Here is a 17,837-nt window from a genome sequence, read left to right on the forward strand (position 1 = left end):
ACAGTTTTTTTGTTGGGAGGCCGAGGTGGGAGGATCGCTTGAGCTCAAGACTGAGACCAGCCTAGGCAAGATAGTGAAACTCCATCTTTACAAAAAAATTTTAAAAATCAGCTCAGCGTGGTAGTGTCTACCTGTGGTCTCAGCTACTCAGGAGGCCAAGGCAGGAGGACTACTTGAGCCTAGGAGTTCGAAGCTACAGTGAGCCATGATTGCATCTCTGCATTCCAGCCTCGGCAGCAGAGCAAGACCCTGTCTCAAAAAATAAAATAAAAATTTAAAAATAAGCAATCTCTTTGGTAGCCATGCAGAGAAGTGATTGTAGAGGCACAAGAGTTAAAAATAAAATAATAGGCTGGGCACGGTGACTCACGCCTGTAATCCCAGCACTTTGGGAGGCCGAGGCAGGCAGATCACCTGAGGTCAGGAGTTCGAAACCAGCCTGGCCAACATTGTGAAACCCCATCTCTACTAAAAATACAAAAAATTAGGCTGGGTGCGGTGGCTCACGCCTGTAATCCCAGCACTTTGGGAGGCCAAGGGAGGCAGATCACGAGGTCAGGAGATGGAGACCATTCTGGCTAACATGGTGAAACCCTGTCTCTACTAAAAATGTAAAAAATTAGCCGGGCATGGTGGCACGCGCCTGTAGTCCCAGCTACTCAGGAGGCTGAGGCAGGAGAATCCCTTGAACCCAGGAGGCAGAGGCTGCAGTGAGCCGAGTTTGAGCCACTGCACTCCAGTCTGGCAACAGAGTGAGACCCTGTCTCAGGAAAAAAAAAAAAATTTGCTGGGTGTGGTGGCGGGTGCCTGTAATCCCAGCTACTTGCAAGGCTGAGGCAGGAGAATCGCTTGAACTCAGGAGGCGGAGGTTGCAGTGAGCCAAGATTGCACCACTGCACTCCAGCCTGAGCAACAAGAGCAAGACTCCGTCTCAAAAAATAAAATAAAATAAAAGTAAGGCCTGGCTAGCATGCCATTGCAGTAGTTCAGGTGAGAGATGAGGGGACTCAGCCCAGCAAGGGCAGAGCAGATGGAGCGGCTGTGGAGAATGCAGGAAGGAGAGGAATCCGGGACGCCCCTCAGTGCCTGCTGCTGCTGACATGGAGAAGACTCGGATCAAGAGTCAGGCGCAAGGTGGCTTTCAACATCCAAGTGGAGAAGGTGAGTAGACAGGGAAATATAGAAGCCTAAAGCCCAGAAGAAAAAAGACCAAGCCCCCTGCCTCAGCCTCCCGAGTAACTGGGACTACAGCGCCCGCCACCACACCCGGCTACTTTTTGTATTTTTAGTAGAGATGGGGTTTCACGGTGGTCTTGATCTCCTGACCTCGTGATCCGCCCGCCTCAGCCTCCCAAAGTGCTGGGATTATAGGCGTGAGCCACCACGCCCGGCCGAGGCCATGGGTTTCAAGAAAGAGGAAGTGATGGGTGACAAACTGCTGAGCAGTTGAGCAAGGCCTGAGGGGCGGCTATTGGGTTTGGCAAGACGTATGTTGCTGGTGGCTTTACAAGGGGGTGTCAGGAGTGGGGACCGAGGGCAGATCTCGCTTGGGAGGAGTTTTGCTGTAAAGGGGAACAGAGAAATGGGGAGATCATCGGAAAGGGATGTGGGATTAGGGAGGGTGTTTTCTTTCCTCTTTTTTTTTTTTCTGAAAGTATGGAAAGATAACAGTGCATTCTCTTGCCTGTGCGGATGCCAGGGAGACGGGGAAGGAGCCAGATTCCAGGCACACATGGAGCAGGGAGGCTGAGCATGGGGAGGCTGGCGGCTGAGGCGTGTCGTTGCTTCCTACAGCCGGTGCAGCTGTACAAGGGCATGGGACTGGATGTCAGCCAGACAAGGCTGGGGGACAGGTAGAGGAAATAGGCTGGCAAGGTGGAGGCAGTTGTCCAAGAGGGGACACCTGAAGCAGAAACTCTGGAGAACATGCAGTTACTGAGAGTGACAAGTCTCAGCCTTGGCCAGGACTCCGTGAAGGTGGGTCAGGTGTGTTGGAGGGAAAGAGCGTTGTGGAGGAAGAGATTGGGAAGCAGAGGCAGGAGGATTCATGGACAACATTGTTGAAGCTGCCAGAAATGAGCATAGGAGTGTCTGGCGACAGAAGGACAGTGTGAGGAGGATGAGAAACCTTCCCTGAGTGGTCAGAGTGGCTGGAGGTCTGGAGGTGACTGTGGCAAGCAGGGCTCGAGGGTGATGTAGTCCCTAAGCATGCTCTTGGAGAGGCTGGGTTGTTACGGAAGGAGAGGGGAGGAATATTCTGGAAAAGTAGGGAGAAGAGCTCTGTCAGCTGCAGGTCCTCAGAGAAGGCAGGGTGTGGGAGACAAAAACAGACACCCCTTGAGAGAGCTGCAGGAGAAACAGCATCTTCAGGGGAGACCCCGACTTCTAGCAGAGTGAGAGAGTGGAGGGACATCCGAGAAGAGGCTGAGGAGGATGTAGAGGTTTTATGATGACACCGTGAGTTGACACTGAGAGTTCCCAGTGGCCTACTGACAATTTGGGGGTCACTAAGAGGTAGACATTTAGGTCAGTTTAAAGAATGTTTGAACCCTCTGGAGATGACAGTGGTGTGGAATATGAAGTGGAATCCAGACTAAAACAGGAAAGAGCCAGGAGCACTTTCTGGAGTCAGGTGAATGGAATGACCAGGTGAGCCCAGGAGCCATGGGGTGGACTCCAAGATGTGCTGAGGCTACAGTAGAACCATCAAGGAAGAAACTCACTGACCATGCTTTTCTCAGCCCAGTTCATGAGGGGCTGCCCTGGCAGGAGGGCTTTCCTGTGGAGGTGGCCAAGGAGCACTGTGCTCTCCTCCCTCCACCAGGTATCAAAAGTCAACCTGCTGCCCACCCGCATTCACAGCAGCACTCTGAACAATAGCAGAAAGGTGGAAGCAACCCAAGCATCCATCTACAGATAACTGGATAAACAAAACATGATTCATTTATATAATGGGATCTTATTCAACTTTAAAAAGGAAAGAAATTCTGACAACAGTGCTACAACCTGGATGAACCTTGAGGACGTTATGCTGAGTGAAGTAAGCCAGACACAGAAAGACAAATCCTGTGTGATTGCACCTACATGAGGTAGTAGAGTAGTCAGATTCATAGAGACAGAAAGTAGAATGGTGGTTGCCAGGGGCTGGGGGAAGGGGAAAATGGGGAGTTAGTGTTTAATGGGGACAGAGTTTAAGTTTTGCAAGATGAGAAAGGTGAGGTGAATGGAGGTGATGGCTGCACAATAATGTGAATGTACATTTTGGTTAATGCCACCAAAATGTTTAAGAGGATGTTAAAAAATGTCAGATTGGGGAAACTGAAGCTATCCTATTGCCTCGAGGCCACACAGTTGACAGACGGCTGCAGCATTGGACCAGAATGTGTCTCTGACCCCACACCCTGCAGGGGCTCTGCAAGGCAGAGGAAGAATCGGGGCTGTGGTGATTAGAAACAGTGAGCATCCTGGGGCGACCCTGTTGAGCCTCTTAGGAAGAACTTTTTAAATTTTTATATATTTTTTGGAGTTGGTTTATTTGAATGTGAGACACTACAATTGGTTTATGTGTCTCCTTTTTTTTTTTTTTTCTTTTTTAATTTTGAGACAGGGTCTCACTCTGTCACCCAGGCTGGAGTGCAGTGGCGTGATCTCAGCTCACTGCAGCCTCCGCCTCCCAGGCTCAAGCAATCCTCCTACCTAGTCTCCAGAGGAGCTGGGACAACAGGTGTGCACCACCTCACCTGGCTAATTTTTGTATTTTTCCTAGATACAGGGTTTCGCTGTATTGGCCAAGCTGGTCTTGAACTCCTGAGCTCAAGCGATCTGTGTGCCTTGGCCTCACAAAGTTCTGGGATTACAGACGTGAGCCACCGTGCCTGGCCAGGAAGAACGTTCACTGACTCATTTGCCACATTCAGATCTTACCCAGAGACATTTGAATTTCCAAGGGTGATGATTTGCATCGGGTGGAGCAGAGCACCATGGGCACTTAGCTTAGCCCAGGCTCAGCAAAAAGCTGAAATGCTCACAAACAGCAGGCCCTGGGCATTATGGTTATTTTCCTGACCTCAGTCTCAAGTGCCAAATCTCAAAACTATCATTAAAATGTCCATATTTTTTCATTTAGAGAAAACAGTGTCTGCTAAAATCCATAATATCCACCTGAGTGTTTGTTCAGCACAGCTGGCCTGACAGCACTTGTTTGGAACTTGACAAGTAAGCCTAAATTCACTGGGAAGGATGAAGCTAAGAAAATTTGGAATAAGAACGAAGGCGGATGCACCTTGCACATATCAAAACACACCATAGAGGTGCAGTGCTGGCCAGGCACTGTGGCTCATGCCTGTAGTCCCAGTGTTTTGGGAGGCTGAGACAGGAGGATCGCTTGAGCCCAGGAGTTTGAGACCAGCCTGGGCAACACAGCAAGGCCCCATCTCTACAAAAAATTTAAAAGGAGCCACACAGATAGGAAAGAAAAGAGAAACGCAGGGTGTCCAGATGTAATGTCTATGTTATTCCACCTGGAAATTTCCCCTTGGAGCTTAGCGCTTCAATGCTGGCCTCTACCAAGAGCCTAAATCCAAGGTCACCCTGAGGCAACTCTTCATCTTACTCCAGAAGGCTGGAAACCTTCAGTCCTCCCCAGCACCCACTCATGTGTGAAGTGAGATCTGATATCTTTGAAGGACATCAACATTGGGTAGAAATAGCCTAAGAAAGACTTCCATGTCCTTTTCCTTAGCAAGGATCCACATGCAGATCTGGCCCTGGGATGGGCATGGTGTGGGCATCACCAGAGGGGCAGCAGGAATGCAAACAGACCTGGCTTAAGATCCAGCTCTGCTACTTAACCAGCTATGTGTGGTGGCTCTGGGAAGGTCATCCAGTCATCTGCAGCCTCAGCCACTTCACCTCTCTACACAGGATCAAGTTACAAGCTATGTGACTTGCTTTTGTATATCTTCTTTGGAGAAGTGTCTGTTCAAGTCCTTTGCCCATTTTAAAAATTGGATTATTTGTCTTTTTCTCTTTTTTTTTGAGATAGGGTCTCACTGTTACCCAGGCTGGAGTGCAGTGGCATGATCTCAGCTCACTGCAACTGCTGCCTCCCGGGTTCAAGCCATTCTCGTGCCTCAGCCTCCCGAGTAGCTGGGATTACAGGCACTCGCTACCATGCCCTACTAATTTTTGTATTTTTAGTAGAGATGGGGTTTAACCATGTTGGTCAGGCTATTCTCAAACTCCTGACCTCAGGTGATCCGCCCGCCTCAGCCTCCCAAGTGCTGGGATTACAGGTGTGAACCACCATACCTGGCCTGGACACTAGACTTTTATTAGATATATGATTTGCAAATATTTTCTCCCATTTTGTGAACTATCTTTTTATTCTCTTGATAGTGCCCTTTGATGTACAAAAGTTTTTAACTTGGATGAAGTTCAGTGTATCTAATTTTTTATCTGATTGCTTGGGTTTTTGGTGTCATAGTTAAGAAATTGTTGGCCGGGCATGGTGGCTCATGCCTGTAATCGCAGCACTTTGGGAGGCCGAGGTGGGAGGATCACTAAGTCAGGAGTTCGAGACCAGCCTGGCCAACATGGTGAAACCCCGTCTCTACTAAAAATACAAAAATTAGCTGGGTATGGTGGCATATGCCTATATTCCCAGCTACTGGGGAGGCTGAGGCAGGAGAATCCCTTGAACCCGGGAGGCAGAGGTTACAGTGAGCTAAGATCATGCCACTGCACTCCAGCCTGGGCGACAGAGCAAGACTCTCTCAAAAAAAAAAAAAAAAAAGAAAGAAATTGTTGCCCAAGGTAATGAAGATTTACACCTATGTTTTCTTCTAAGATTTTTGTAGTTTTAGCTCTTACATTTAGGTGTTTGATCCATTTTGAGTTGATTTTTGTATATGACTTGAGGTAGTAGTTCAACTTAATTCTTTTGCATGTGGATACCCAGCTGTCCCAGGAGCATTTGTTAAAAAGGCTATTCTTTCTCCCATTAAATTGTCATGGAATCCCTGTCAAATATCAATTGACCATAAATGTAAGCATTTATTTCTGGATTCTCAGTTCTAATTCATCAATCTATATGTCTGCCCTTATGCCAGCACCACATTGTGTTGATTACTATAGTTTTGTAATAAGTTTTGAAATCAAGAAACGTTCATTTAAAGGTAAAAACCTAAAAATAACAAATAAAAATAAAGGGAAAAAAAGGAGGTGTTAGTCCTTCAATTTTTTTTTTTTTTTTTTTTTTGAGACGGAGTCTTGCACTCTCACCCAGGCTGGAGTGCAGTGGCACCATCTCGGCTCACTGCAAGCTCTGCCTCCCGGGTTCACACCATTCTCCTGCCTCAGCATCCCGAGTAGCTGGGACTACAAGCGCCCGCTACCACGCCCGACTAATTTTTTATATCTTTAGTGGAGATGGGGTTTCACCGTGTTAGCTGGGATGGTCCCAATCTCCTGACCTTGTGATCCGCCCGCCTCAGCCTCCCAAAGTGTTGGGATTACAGGCGTGAGCCACTGCGCCTGGCCTTGTTTTTCTTTTTCAAGATTGTTTTTGCTATTCTGTGTCCTCTGCATTTCCATATAATTTTTAGGATCAGCTTGTCAATTTTTGCAAAATTTTGAGAGATTGCATTGAATATGTAGATCAATTTCGGTAGCATTGCCATCTTAATAATATTGTCTTCCAATCCATGAATATGGACTATGGACTGTCTTTCCAGTTATTTGGGTATTTTTAAATTTATTTCAATTATGTTTTGTAGTTTTATTTGTAAAAGTCTTGTGCTTCTTTGGTTAAATTTATTCCTAAGAATTTTGTTTTTGATGCTAATGTAAATGAAGTTGTTTTCTTAATTTTAAGATTATTCATTGCTATTGAGTAAAGATACAATTAATTTTATATTTTGTCCAAGATACTGATCTTGTATTCTGCAACCCTGCTGAAGGGCATTTATTTGTTCTAAAAGGTTTTGTTTTTGTTTTGTGGATCTCTTAGGGTTTTCTATATACAAGATTATGGCATTTGCAATATACATATATGTGTGTGTATATATATATATATAGAGAGAGAGTTTTAGTTCTCCTTTCTAATCTGGATGCCTCTTATTTGTTTTTTAATTTTTTCTTTTGGCTTTATTTCCCTGGCTAGAACCCCCAATACAATTCTGAATAGAAGTGAGAGCAAAATCCTTGTCTTATTCTTGATCTTAGAGGGAATGCTTGCAGTCTTTTATCATTGAATACGCTATATTAGCTTTGAGTTTTTCATAGATGTCCTTTATCAGGTTGAAGATATTTCTTTCCATTTCTATTTTGTTGATTTTTTTCAAATCATGAAAGGATGTTAGATTTTGCCAAATACTTTTTCTATGTGTATTGAGATGATCATGTTATTTTTCCTTTATTCTATTAATAACATGTATTACATAATTAAATCTTATTCATTAAACCAACTTAGCATTCCTGAGATAAATCCCACCTGATCATAGTATATATTTTATTTATTTTTTTATTTTTTTGAGATGGAGTCTGGCTCTGTCACCCAGGTTGCAGTTCAGTGGCACAATCTCAGCTCACTGCAGCCTCTGCCTCCTGAGTTCAAGCAATTCTGCCTCAGCCTCCCAAGTAGCTGGGACTACAGGTGCATGCCACTATGCCTGGCTAATTTTTGTATTTTTAGTAGAGACAGAGTTTCACCATATTGGCCAGGCTGGTCTCAAACTCCTGACCTTGTGATCTGCCCACCTTGGCCTCCCAAACTGTTGGGATTACAGGCGTGAGCCACCGCGCCCGACCTCTATATATCTTATATCCTTTTTGTTCCTCTATTTCTCCATTGTTGACTTCTTTTTTGTTAAATAGGTATTATCTAGTGTACCTTTTTAATTCTCTTGTCAATTATTTGTTAAAATGTCAGAATATATAATGATATAAAAAAGCTTTCTTCCTATATTGTTCCATTTCCTCCTCTCCTTTTGGCTATTAACATCATACAAGTAATGTCTTTATACACTGTGTGCCCATCAGCACATATTTCTAATTATTGTTTTATGCTGTCTTTTGTATTAATTAATTTATTTATTTATCTATCTATTTTGAGACAGAGTCTCGCCCTGTTGCCCAAAGTGGAGTGCAGTGGTGCAGTCTTGGCTCACTGCAACCTCTGCCTCCTGGGTTCAAGTGATTCTCCTGCCTCAGCCTCCTGATAAGCTGGGACCACAAGCGCATGCCACCATGCCACCTAATTTTTGTATTTTTTGGTAGAGACAGAGTTTCACTATGTTGGCCAGGCTGGTCTCAAACTCCTGACCCCAAACGATCCGCACACTCTGGCCTCCCAAAGTGTTGGGATTACATGTGTGAGCCACCGCGCCTGGCCTGTATTTACATTTCATACTCTCTTTTATAGTTGTCTTTGTAGTAGCTTTTTCTGGTGTACTTTATTTCTTCATGCATATTGAGTTATTGTCTAGTGTGCTTTCATTTCAGCCTGAATAAATAGCTTTAGTATTTATTGTAGATCTCTTAGTGAATTTTTGTTTATCTACTCTCTTAATATCTGCTTCCTTTTTGAAGGACATTTTTACTAGATAGAGAATTTTTGGTTGGCAGTTTTTTTCTTTCAGAGCTTTTACTATGTCATAGTAGATGGCTCTTATGGTCTCCATGACTTCTGATTAGAAGTCAGATGTTAATCTTATTGAGGGTTCCTTGTACATAATAAGTCACCTTTCTCCTGATGCCCTGAAGATTCTCTTTGACTTTAGCTTTTGACAATTTGACTGCAGTGTGTCTAGGTGTAGATATCTTTGATTTTATTCCACTTAGAGTTCACTGAGTTTCTTCGATGTACATGCTTATTTTTTTCATCAAATTTGGGAAGTTTTTGACCATTATGTTTAAATTTTTCTGTTTCTCTCTCACTCTCTTTCTAGTACTCTGATTTTGCGTATATTGGTACACTTAATGATATCTCCAAGGTCTCTGAAACTGTTGATTTTTCTTTTATCTTTTTTCTTTCTGTTCCTCAAATTGGATTATCTCAATTGACCAGTGCATTCAAGTTCACTAATTTTTACTTTTGCAAGTCCAAATTCGCTGTTGTGCCCTTCTATTAAATTTTTCATTTGTTATTGTACTTTTTTTTTTTTTTTTTTGAGATCGAGTCTCGCTCTGTCGCCCAGGCTGGAGGGTGGTGTCGTCATTTTGGCTCACTGCAACCTCTACCTCCCAGGTTCAGGCGATCCTCCCACCTCAGCCTCCTGAGTAGCTGGAATTACAGGAGCGTGCCACCATGCTCAGCTAATTGTTTTGTTTTGTTTTGTTTTTAGTAGAGACGGGGTTTCAACATGTTGGTCAGGCTGGTCTCGAACTCCTGACCTTGAGTGACCTGCCCTTCTTGCCCCTTGGCTTACCAAAGTGATGGGATTACAGGCATGAGCCACCACACCTGGCCTGTTATTGTACTTTTCAACTCCAGAATATCTATTTGATTCTTCATCATTTCCATCTCTTTTTTTGAGATTCTCTATTTGGTGAGACATCTTTCTTTCAATTGTTTAGACAGATTCCTGTTTATTTATTTATTTATTTTTATTTTTATTTTTTTTGATGGAGTCTTTCTCTTGTCACCCAGGCTGGAGTGCAGTGGTGCAATCTTGTCTCACTGCAACCTCTGCCTCCTGGGTTCAGGCACTTCTCATGCCTCAGCCTCCCAAGTAGCTGGGATTATAGGCCTGAGCCACCACCCTCAGCTAATTTTGTATTTTTTTAGTAAAGACAGGATTTCACCATGTTGGTTAGGCTGGTCTCAAACTCCTGACCTCAGGTGATCCACCCACCTCAGCCTCCCAGAGTGCTGGGATTACAGGCATGAGCCACTGCACCTGGCCCCTTTTAATTTTTTGAACATGTTTAAAATAGCTGATTTAAAATCTTTGTCTAGGCCTCAGGCGCAGTGGCTCATGCCTGTAATTTCAGCACTTTGGGCACCGGAGGCAGAAGGATCGCTTGCAGCCAAGAGTTTGAGACCAGGCCGGAAAACAAAATGAGACCCCATCTCTACAAAAAAATTAAAAAATTGTCCAGCATGGTGGCACATGCCTGTAGTTCCAGCTACTCAGGAGGCTAAGACAAAAGGATCACTGGAGCCCAGGAGTTCGAGACTGCAGTGAATCATGATTGTGCCACTGCACTCCAGCCTGGACAACAGAGTGAGACTCTATCTCTAAAAAAATTAATTAAATAAAAATAAATAAAACATACATACATAAAATCTTTGCCTAGTAAACCTAACATCCTGACTTTCTTAGGAGCAGTTTCTGTTGTTTCTTTTTTCTCCTGTATGTGGGCCATATTTTCCTTCTTATATGCATGTCTTATAATATTTTGTTGAAAGCACAACATTTAAAATAATACAATGTGGCAACTCTGAAAATTGGATCCTGCCACCCCAGGGTTTGTGGTTGATACTGTTTGTTGCTGTTGTTGCTGTTCATTTGTTTAGTGAATTTCCTGGACAAATTCTGTGATGTCTGTATTTTTTGTCACATGCAGCAGCTAAAGTCTCTGGCTAGTTAGCTTAGTGGTCAGCTGATAATTGGATAGCAATTTCCTTAAATGCCTTGAATCTATAGTCTCCCAGCCTTTGCAAAAGGACTTAGTGTGTGTGTTGGGGTACACTTTCACCATTGACAACTCTACTTTAGCCTTTATTTCCTGCTTATGCACAGCCCCAAAGTCAGCCAAAGGTGACAGATTATGGCATTTTCATGTCTTTCCTGGGCCTATGCACATGCACAAGGCCTTACATATTCCCAGGAATAAGAGCTTTTCTTTTTTCCTTTTCTTTTCTTTTTTTTTTTAATGGAGTTTCGCTCTTGTTACCCAGGCTGGAGTGCAATGGCGCCATCTTGGCTCACTGCAACCTCTACCTCCCAGGTTCAAGCGATTATTCTGCCTCAGCCTCCCAAGTAGTTGGGACTACAGGCGTGTGCCACCACACCTGGCTAATTTTTGTATTTTTAGTAGAGACAGGGTTTCACCATGTTGGTCAGGCTGGTCTCGAACTCCTGATCTCAGGTGATCCACTCACCTCGGGCTCCCAAATTGCTGGGATTACAGGCGTGAGCGACCATGCCTGGCCTGAATAAGAGCTTTTCAAAGCCTCCTATGGACATGTCATTTTTTAGTTTTTCTTTTTAATTTTTTACCAGCTTCTTGTTAGTCCTGCCTGGTATTGACATTTCAGGCAACTGCGGTTTAAACTTTTCCCTCATCCACCCCTAAGCACACACACTTTTCCACGCCTCCATTTCCTCAAGACAGTTTTATCATGCTGGTTGTAGTGGATCATATCTGTAGTCCCAGAATTTTGGGAGGCCAAGGTGAGTGGATCACATGAGCCCTGGAGTTCTGCCTGGCAACAGAGGGAGACTTTGTCAAAAGAGAGAGAAAAAAAAGAAGGAAGGAAGGAAGGAAGTTAGAAAGGAAGGAAGGAAAGGAAAGGAAGGAAGGAAGGAAAAGAGATTTATCAAATTTTTTCATTAAATCAATATTCAGTGTTCTTTTTGTTTGTTTTTGTTTTTGTTTTTGAGATGGAGTCCCACTCTGTCGCCTGGGCTGGAGTGCAGTGGTGCAATCTCGGCTCACTGCAACCTCTGCCTCTCGAGTTCAAGTGATTCTGCTGCCTCAGCCTCCTGAGTAGCTGGGACTACAGGCGCCCGCCACCACGCCCGGCTAATGTTTTGTATGTGTAGTAGAGACGAGGTTTCATCATGTTAGCCAGGATGGTCTCTATCTCCTGACTTCAGGATCCACCCACCTTGGCCTCCCAAAGTGCTGGGATTACAGGCATGAGCCACCATACCTGGCTCATATTCAGTGTTTATATCAGAGTTTCCCAGTAGGAGCAATATTGGCGTTTTGGTGGGACAGTTCTTCATTGTAAAGGATATTTAGCATCTCTGGTCTCTGTCCACTAATTGCCAGTAATGGTTATATAACAGTGGGAACCAAAAACATGCCTACATATTTCTAAACATGCTCTTGAGCTTAGCAGGCAGTATCACTTGGTTAACAATCTGCTTCACAGTATTTCGACTGTATAATTAGGTTTACACTGAAACATATGTACTGTTATTGCATTTTCTGTCTTCAACTTTCTTTTTTTTGTATAGTTACTAATTACCTCCCTTATTTGTTTAGTTTCTTAGTAACGATCACTATTTGCTAAGATCTCCGAATGTATATCAAATATCTCTCCATAACATCAAACATAGCAAGTAATTGCTTCTTTCTACTCTTACTTTATTTATATTATTTATTTTTTTGAGGCAGAGTCTCTCACCGTTGCCCAGGCCGGAGTGCAGCGGTGGGATCTTGGTTCACTGCAACCTCCAGCTCCCGAGTTCAAGCGATCCTCCTGCCTCAGCCTCCTGAGTAGCTGGGATTACAGGTGCCCGCCACCACGCCCAGCTATTTTTTTGTATTTTTAGTAGAGACAGGGTTTCACTCTGACAGGCCAGGCTGGTCTTGAACTCCTGACCTTGTGATCCTCCCTCCTCTGCCTCCCAAAGTACTGGGATCACAGGCATGAGCCACAGCGCCCGGCTGCTTCTTTCTACTCCTTCTTGGAAACAGTCCTCCTGGAGCCTTCTGTCTTTTCACACAACTCTGAACTGATTAACCAGGACTGCTGCACAGCAGACATTCTGGGGCTTCTCTTCACCACCATCCTGGTAATTGGACTCAAAAAATGTGAATTGGAAAATCCAAGTTGTCTCCACTGCCTGTTTGACTGGGGGAGGCTGAAGAAGTTCAGGATAATGCAGAGCATAAAGAAGTTACATGGCCAGGTGTGCTGGCTCACGCCTGTAATCCCAGCACTTTGGGAGGCTGAGGCGGGCAGATCATGAGGTCAGGAGATTGAGACCATCCTGGCTAACACATGAAACCCTGTCTCTACTAAAAATACAAAAAAAAATTAGCCGGGTGTGGTGGCGGGTGCCTGTAGTCCCAGCTACTTGGGAGGCTGAGGCAGGAGAATGGCATGAACCCAGGAGGCGGAGCTTGCGTGAGCCAAGATCACACCACTGCACTCCAGCCTGGGTAACAGAGCGAGACTCTGTCTCAAAAAAAAAAAAAAAAAAAAAAAGAAGTTACATTTTCTCTGAATGTCTGAGGGCAGAGTGAATGTATGTGTAACATTACTTCATACATATATGGAATGAATACTCTTTAATGTGCTTCTATATTTATCATATAATTTGGTCCTTATTTTAACTTTCTCATTTCAGATTTGAGGAAATTGAAGTGCACTGCCTGGCACCCACTTTACTTCTGAAACAATACATGTGGTAACAGTATTAAGTGCTCACTATTTTGCAAACATTGTTCAAGAACCCTAGGAAAGACAGTACAGAATAAATAGAAAGCAAAGTCTTTTTGTCCAAGAACTTAAAGCCCGTCAGTGTTGGGAACATGCGATTTGTGTGTGCAATGGTGCAGGAGTCTGGTCGTGTCCATCTCTGGGGTGCAGAGCTGCCTCTGAAGACTTGGCAAGACCTACCCAACAGTCGTTCACTGAGCAGAGACTGAGGAGCCTCCTGGGATTGGGCTCATCCTCAGGAAAAGCGGAGCCAGTCCCAAGCTTGAACCAGTGACAAGTCCTTGGATGTCGGAGAGAAGTAGAACGTTGAGGTACAGTAAGAAACCCTTGTTGACTTCCAGAAGTGCTTGAGGGATTTTGTGGGGAGCTGAGGCCTGGAGAGAGTCAGCTGTTCTGAAATGTAGGCTGTGACTCCTGATGTGTGCCATCTTTATGTACAAGCCAGTGAGGCCTAGAGCTCTCAGGTTAGACTTAAAATTTCCCTCTGACACTCACACAGACACTGAGGGGCAATGTGCACTGTACTCTTTTCCTCTTTATTTTATAGAGCCCCAAGTTTATTCGGAGGGTAACATATTTGGGAAAGGTATGCCCCTTCCTCTTCCCCATGGAATAAACCATATTTGGTCAAAGCCAGGCATGATCATTCCATTTCCCTGTGCTCATGGTTGGTGTAGGGTAGCAAGTGATCCACGACTTCACCTCATGATAAACGGTAGGGAGGCTAGCCCTCTTCTGCATTGAATGAGGTTGCATGAGCAAGCAATGCTTGCAGCTGTGGCAGCCTTTTTGTAACCATGTGGCAACAAGCCTAAGAGGAAAGCTACTGAAGATGGCAGAGCAGAAAGAGAGAACCTGGGCCTGTCATGATATTTCTGGGACCATCTGTATGTCACCTGGATTCTGCTCTGGCAGTTGAGGCAGGATGAGAGGGGTGAGAGATGAGACGATGTGTACTAGCAGTCTGGAAGAGGTCCACGGAGGGTCAGTTTGTTCAGGAAGCATACCCTTCCACTTTCACCAGTGAAAGTCCCACTTGAGTTTCTAGGGCTCTAGTCCTAACCTAACCAGATGCTTTCATCACTGCAGTTGTTTTCCAGGAGTCAGGATCTAGAGGTAGTCAGATGGCAGATGGCTCCTCCTGCCCCTTTTTAGCCTGACCCTGTGAAGTAGATATTGTTATCCCATCTTATACATAAGAAATAGGGGCTTAGAAAGATTAATTGACTTGTCCAACATCAACAGCAGAGCTGGGAATCAAACCTGGAGTCTCTGTTGCTAAGACCTGGGCTCTGCTCCCTGCACACCAATTGCTTTCAAGACTAAACCAGCTGGGTGTAGTGGCTCACACTTGTAATCCCGGCACTTTGGGAGGCTGAGATGGGAGGATCGCTTGAGCCCAGGGGTTCAAGACCAGCCTGGGCAACATAGTGGGACACTGTCTCTACAAAAACATTACAAATTAACCAGGCATGGTGGTGTGCACCTGTAGTCCTAGCCACTTGGGAGGCTGGGGTGGGAGGATCACCTGAGCCCAGGAGGTTGAGGCTGCAGTAAGCTATGATCCCACCATGGTGCTACAGCTTCAGTGACAGAGTGAGACTCTTGTTTCAAAAAAAAAAAAAAAAAAGACTAAATGCCATGACTCTCTTCGGATTCCACCCTTCCTCCTCGTGTTTCCTGAATAATAACCTGTTAATAATAATTATTATAATATTTAATAATAATAATTGGCACCCCCATGGACCCAGTGAGTCCAGCTCAAATCCTAGCGTGGATCAGGGGTTGAAGGAGTCAGGAAAATGTATGATTCATTTCACAAAGACTTTGTGAAGAGGGGCGGGTTGTTGTGTGAGTCAGAGGGTACCAGGTGGGGCTGGGGTGGGGAGAGGACGGAGAAGGGAAAGCTTTGCTGGTGAGGGACACCGGGGACCTGAAACTCAGTGGACTGCAACACAGACGGGAACAGGGCACAGCCCTGTGCTGGAGACTTCCTACTTGGGTGCTATCGTTTGGAAATCTGTCCTCCCAAATCTCATGCTGAAATGTAATCCCCAGTGTTGGAGGTGGGGCCTAGTGGAAGCAGTGGAGCAGTTTCTGATGAATGGTTTAGTGCCATCCTTTTTAGTGCTGTCCTCATGATAGTGAGTGAGTTCTCACTAGATCCGGTTGTTAAAAAAGGTGTGGCACCTCCCCCCACCTCTTGCTCCTGCTTTCCCCATGTGACATGCCTGCTCCCACTTCACCCTCTGCCACTAGTAAAGCTCCCTGAGGCCCCTTGGAAGCCAAGCAGATGCTGGCACTATGGTTTACAGGCTGCAGAACTGTGAGCCAAATAAACCTCTTTTCTTTGTAAATTACCCAGTCTCAGATATTTCCCTATAGCAATGTAAGAATGGCCTAATACATTGGGTGATTCAGGGAAGGTTTCCTGATGGAGGTTGGGCTCTGAAAAGGGGAAATGGTGATTCTGGGCACAGGAAATGCTAGAGCAGAGCCCAGGCCCAGCAGCTGCAGGGCGTGCAGGAACCACTCATAGCAACCAGCCAGACACCGTTCGCCTCCTCTCCCTCTGCAAAATCTCCACTCACTCCTTTGGATATTGCTCTGACCATCCCCGCCCCGTCCTGTGACCTCTGCGGACTGGCATCCCAGCAGGATGGCCCAGCTCTCCAGCCTGGCAGCCAGAGCCTTCTCCACTAGGCCTTTTTCTCTTCACTCTCCTGGGCATGGCACCCCTGGGCAAACTCCTAACTACCACCTCTGCCTGGTATAGCTGGAACCACCCCACTGTGAAGCCTCCCTCACTCTGTAAAAGCCAGTACCCCAGGAAGCCTCCTCTAACCCTTTGCCCTCTGCCACTCCAAGGAAGTGCTATTGGAGGAGCTGCCTGATCTCTCTGGCCTTCTGTGTGGCAGCAGAAGTTTGTGTCAACTGCTGTGGGAACGTGATTGGTGGAGCAGGTGATTCCAGAACTCACGTGACCAGGACACGGAATGTGTGGGCTTGCCAATATTTTGATATATAAATCAACTGTTTTCATTATGGAAGTAACAAAACCTCAAGGGAAATAGAAAAAAAAATTCCCTGTAATCATCCCACCCAGCTAGGAGGTCTACTGTGTGTGTTTTTGACATTTTGCTGTCCTCGTTGGTGCAAGGGCAGATGTGACTGTTTATGCCTGTGGAGGGCAGAGGGGTTTTTCTTCTTCTTGTCTTTTTTTAGAGACAGGGTCTCCCTCTTTTGCCCAGCCTGGATGGAATGCAGTGGCATGATCCCAGCTCACTGCAGCCTCGAACCCCTGGCCTCAAAGGATCCTCCTGCCTCAGCCTCCCAAGTAGCTGGGACTACAGGCACCTGCCACCGTGCCTGGCTGATTTATTTTTTATTTGTTTGTTTAGAGATGGGGTCTCCCTACATTGGCCAGGCTGGTCTTGAACTCCTGGCCTCAAATGTTCCTCCTGTCTTGGCCTCCCAAAGTTTTGGGATTATAGGCGTGAGCCATGTTGTCGTCATTACAGCTACATTGAGATATAATTTATGTGCCACACAATGCATGCCTTTCAAGTGTACAGTTCAGTGGCATTGAGGTATATCCACAGAACCGTACAACCATCACCACATTGAGAAAATTTTTATCACCCTAAAAAATCCTTTACAAAATCCTTTACCCTTTAGCAGTCACCCCATGTTTTGATTTTTGCTTTACATGATTTTACAAGCATCTTTTCCTGTTGCTGGAAAATCTCCTTACCCATCCTCTTTGGTGACTGTCAGCAAAGGCTTTCGGGTGGTGAAATAGCGTGGCCAGGAGTGCTCTAGAACAATGGTGTTGGTGAGGGCTGCAGAAGCTGAGGACCCACAGGCAGAGAGGGAGGGATGGTAGAAGCAGGTGGTGAGGAGGGACTCGGGGCAGGACTTTGGGGGTAAAAGGAAGCAAGTCTCTGGAAGCAGAACCAGCAGCACTGCTGATCATTGGGACGTGGAGAAAGGCGAAGGCTCAGGGTGTCAGCAAACTTCCTAGGGTGGGTGAGGGTTGCCAGGTCAATAACGAACAGGGTCCCAGGAAAAGGCGGCAGCACAGGTTTGGGGAGAATTAGAGATGAGCTTGGTTTTGGTCTTGTTGGATTTGGGGGCACCAGTCTCTCTCCTGGCGAGAGTCGGCAGTGGGGTGTTAGGATCTGGCCCTCAGGAGGCTGTTAGGGCTGAAGCAAGAGATTTGGGAGTTAAGGGTGTGAGGGCCACGTGGGAGGCCTCGGGAGCCTGTGCCGATCCAGGGTGAGTGTGAAGGAAAGAAAAAAGAGGGCCCGGGGAACACTGGTATTTTCGGGCGGTGGACGAGGATGGGACGGCCACGAGCTTGTCTTAAGGTAGAAGGCAGAGCGGGGCCGTAGGGGCAGTGGCGCGGGCGAGGGTGGAGAACAGCGCTGAGCCT

At 45.7% G+C, this 17,837-nt stretch overlaps 1 protein-coding gene across 3 annotated transcripts in view, besides 2 other annotated features; it reads left to right on the top strand.

Annotated features, from left to right (window-relative positions):
- Window positions 1-17,837, top strand: part of ADORA2B (adenosine A2b receptor) — a 125,385-nt gene that overhangs the window by 76,353 nt on the left and 31,195 nt on the right. For 2 of the 3 annotated variants that reach the window (XM_047435373.1, XM_047435374.1), the window contains one exon: window positions 13,311-13,713. In XM_047435373.1, the coding sequence (XP_047291329.1) occupies window positions 13,688-13,713 (26 nt within the window). In that variant the 5' untranslated portion in view covers window positions 13,311-13,687. Of the gene's footprint in view, window positions 1-848; window positions 1,162-13,310; window positions 13,714-17,837 lie in introns of those variants that run through there. The other variant, XM_011523659.4, reaches the window with a different exon arrangement.
- Window positions 1,252-1,752: an enhancer, noted in NCBI's record as "H3K4me1 hESC enhancer chr17:15831280-15831780 (GRCh37/hg19 assembly coordinates)". NCBI's record gives its function as "activates a minimal SCP1, AML or CMV promoter by ChIP-STARR-seq in primed H9 embryonic stem cells {active_cell/tissue: H9 hESC(primed)}" and the evidence as "EXISTENCE:reporter gene assay evidence [ECO:0000049][PMID:30033119]".
- Window positions 1,753-2,253: an enhancer, noted in NCBI's record as "H3K4me1 hESC enhancer chr17:15831781-15832281 (GRCh37/hg19 assembly coordinates)". NCBI's record gives its function as "activates a minimal SCP1, AML or CMV promoter by ChIP-STARR-seq in primed H9 embryonic stem cells {active_cell/tissue: H9 hESC(primed)}" and the evidence as "EXISTENCE:reporter gene assay evidence [ECO:0000049][PMID:30033119]".

The sequence above is a fragment of the Homo sapiens genome, chromosome 17 (genome assembly GCF_000001405.40).
Source record: "Homo sapiens chromosome 17, GRCh38.p14 Primary Assembly".
Classification (NCBI taxonomy): Eukaryota; Metazoa; Chordata; class Mammalia; order Primates; family Hominidae; genus Homo; species Homo sapiens.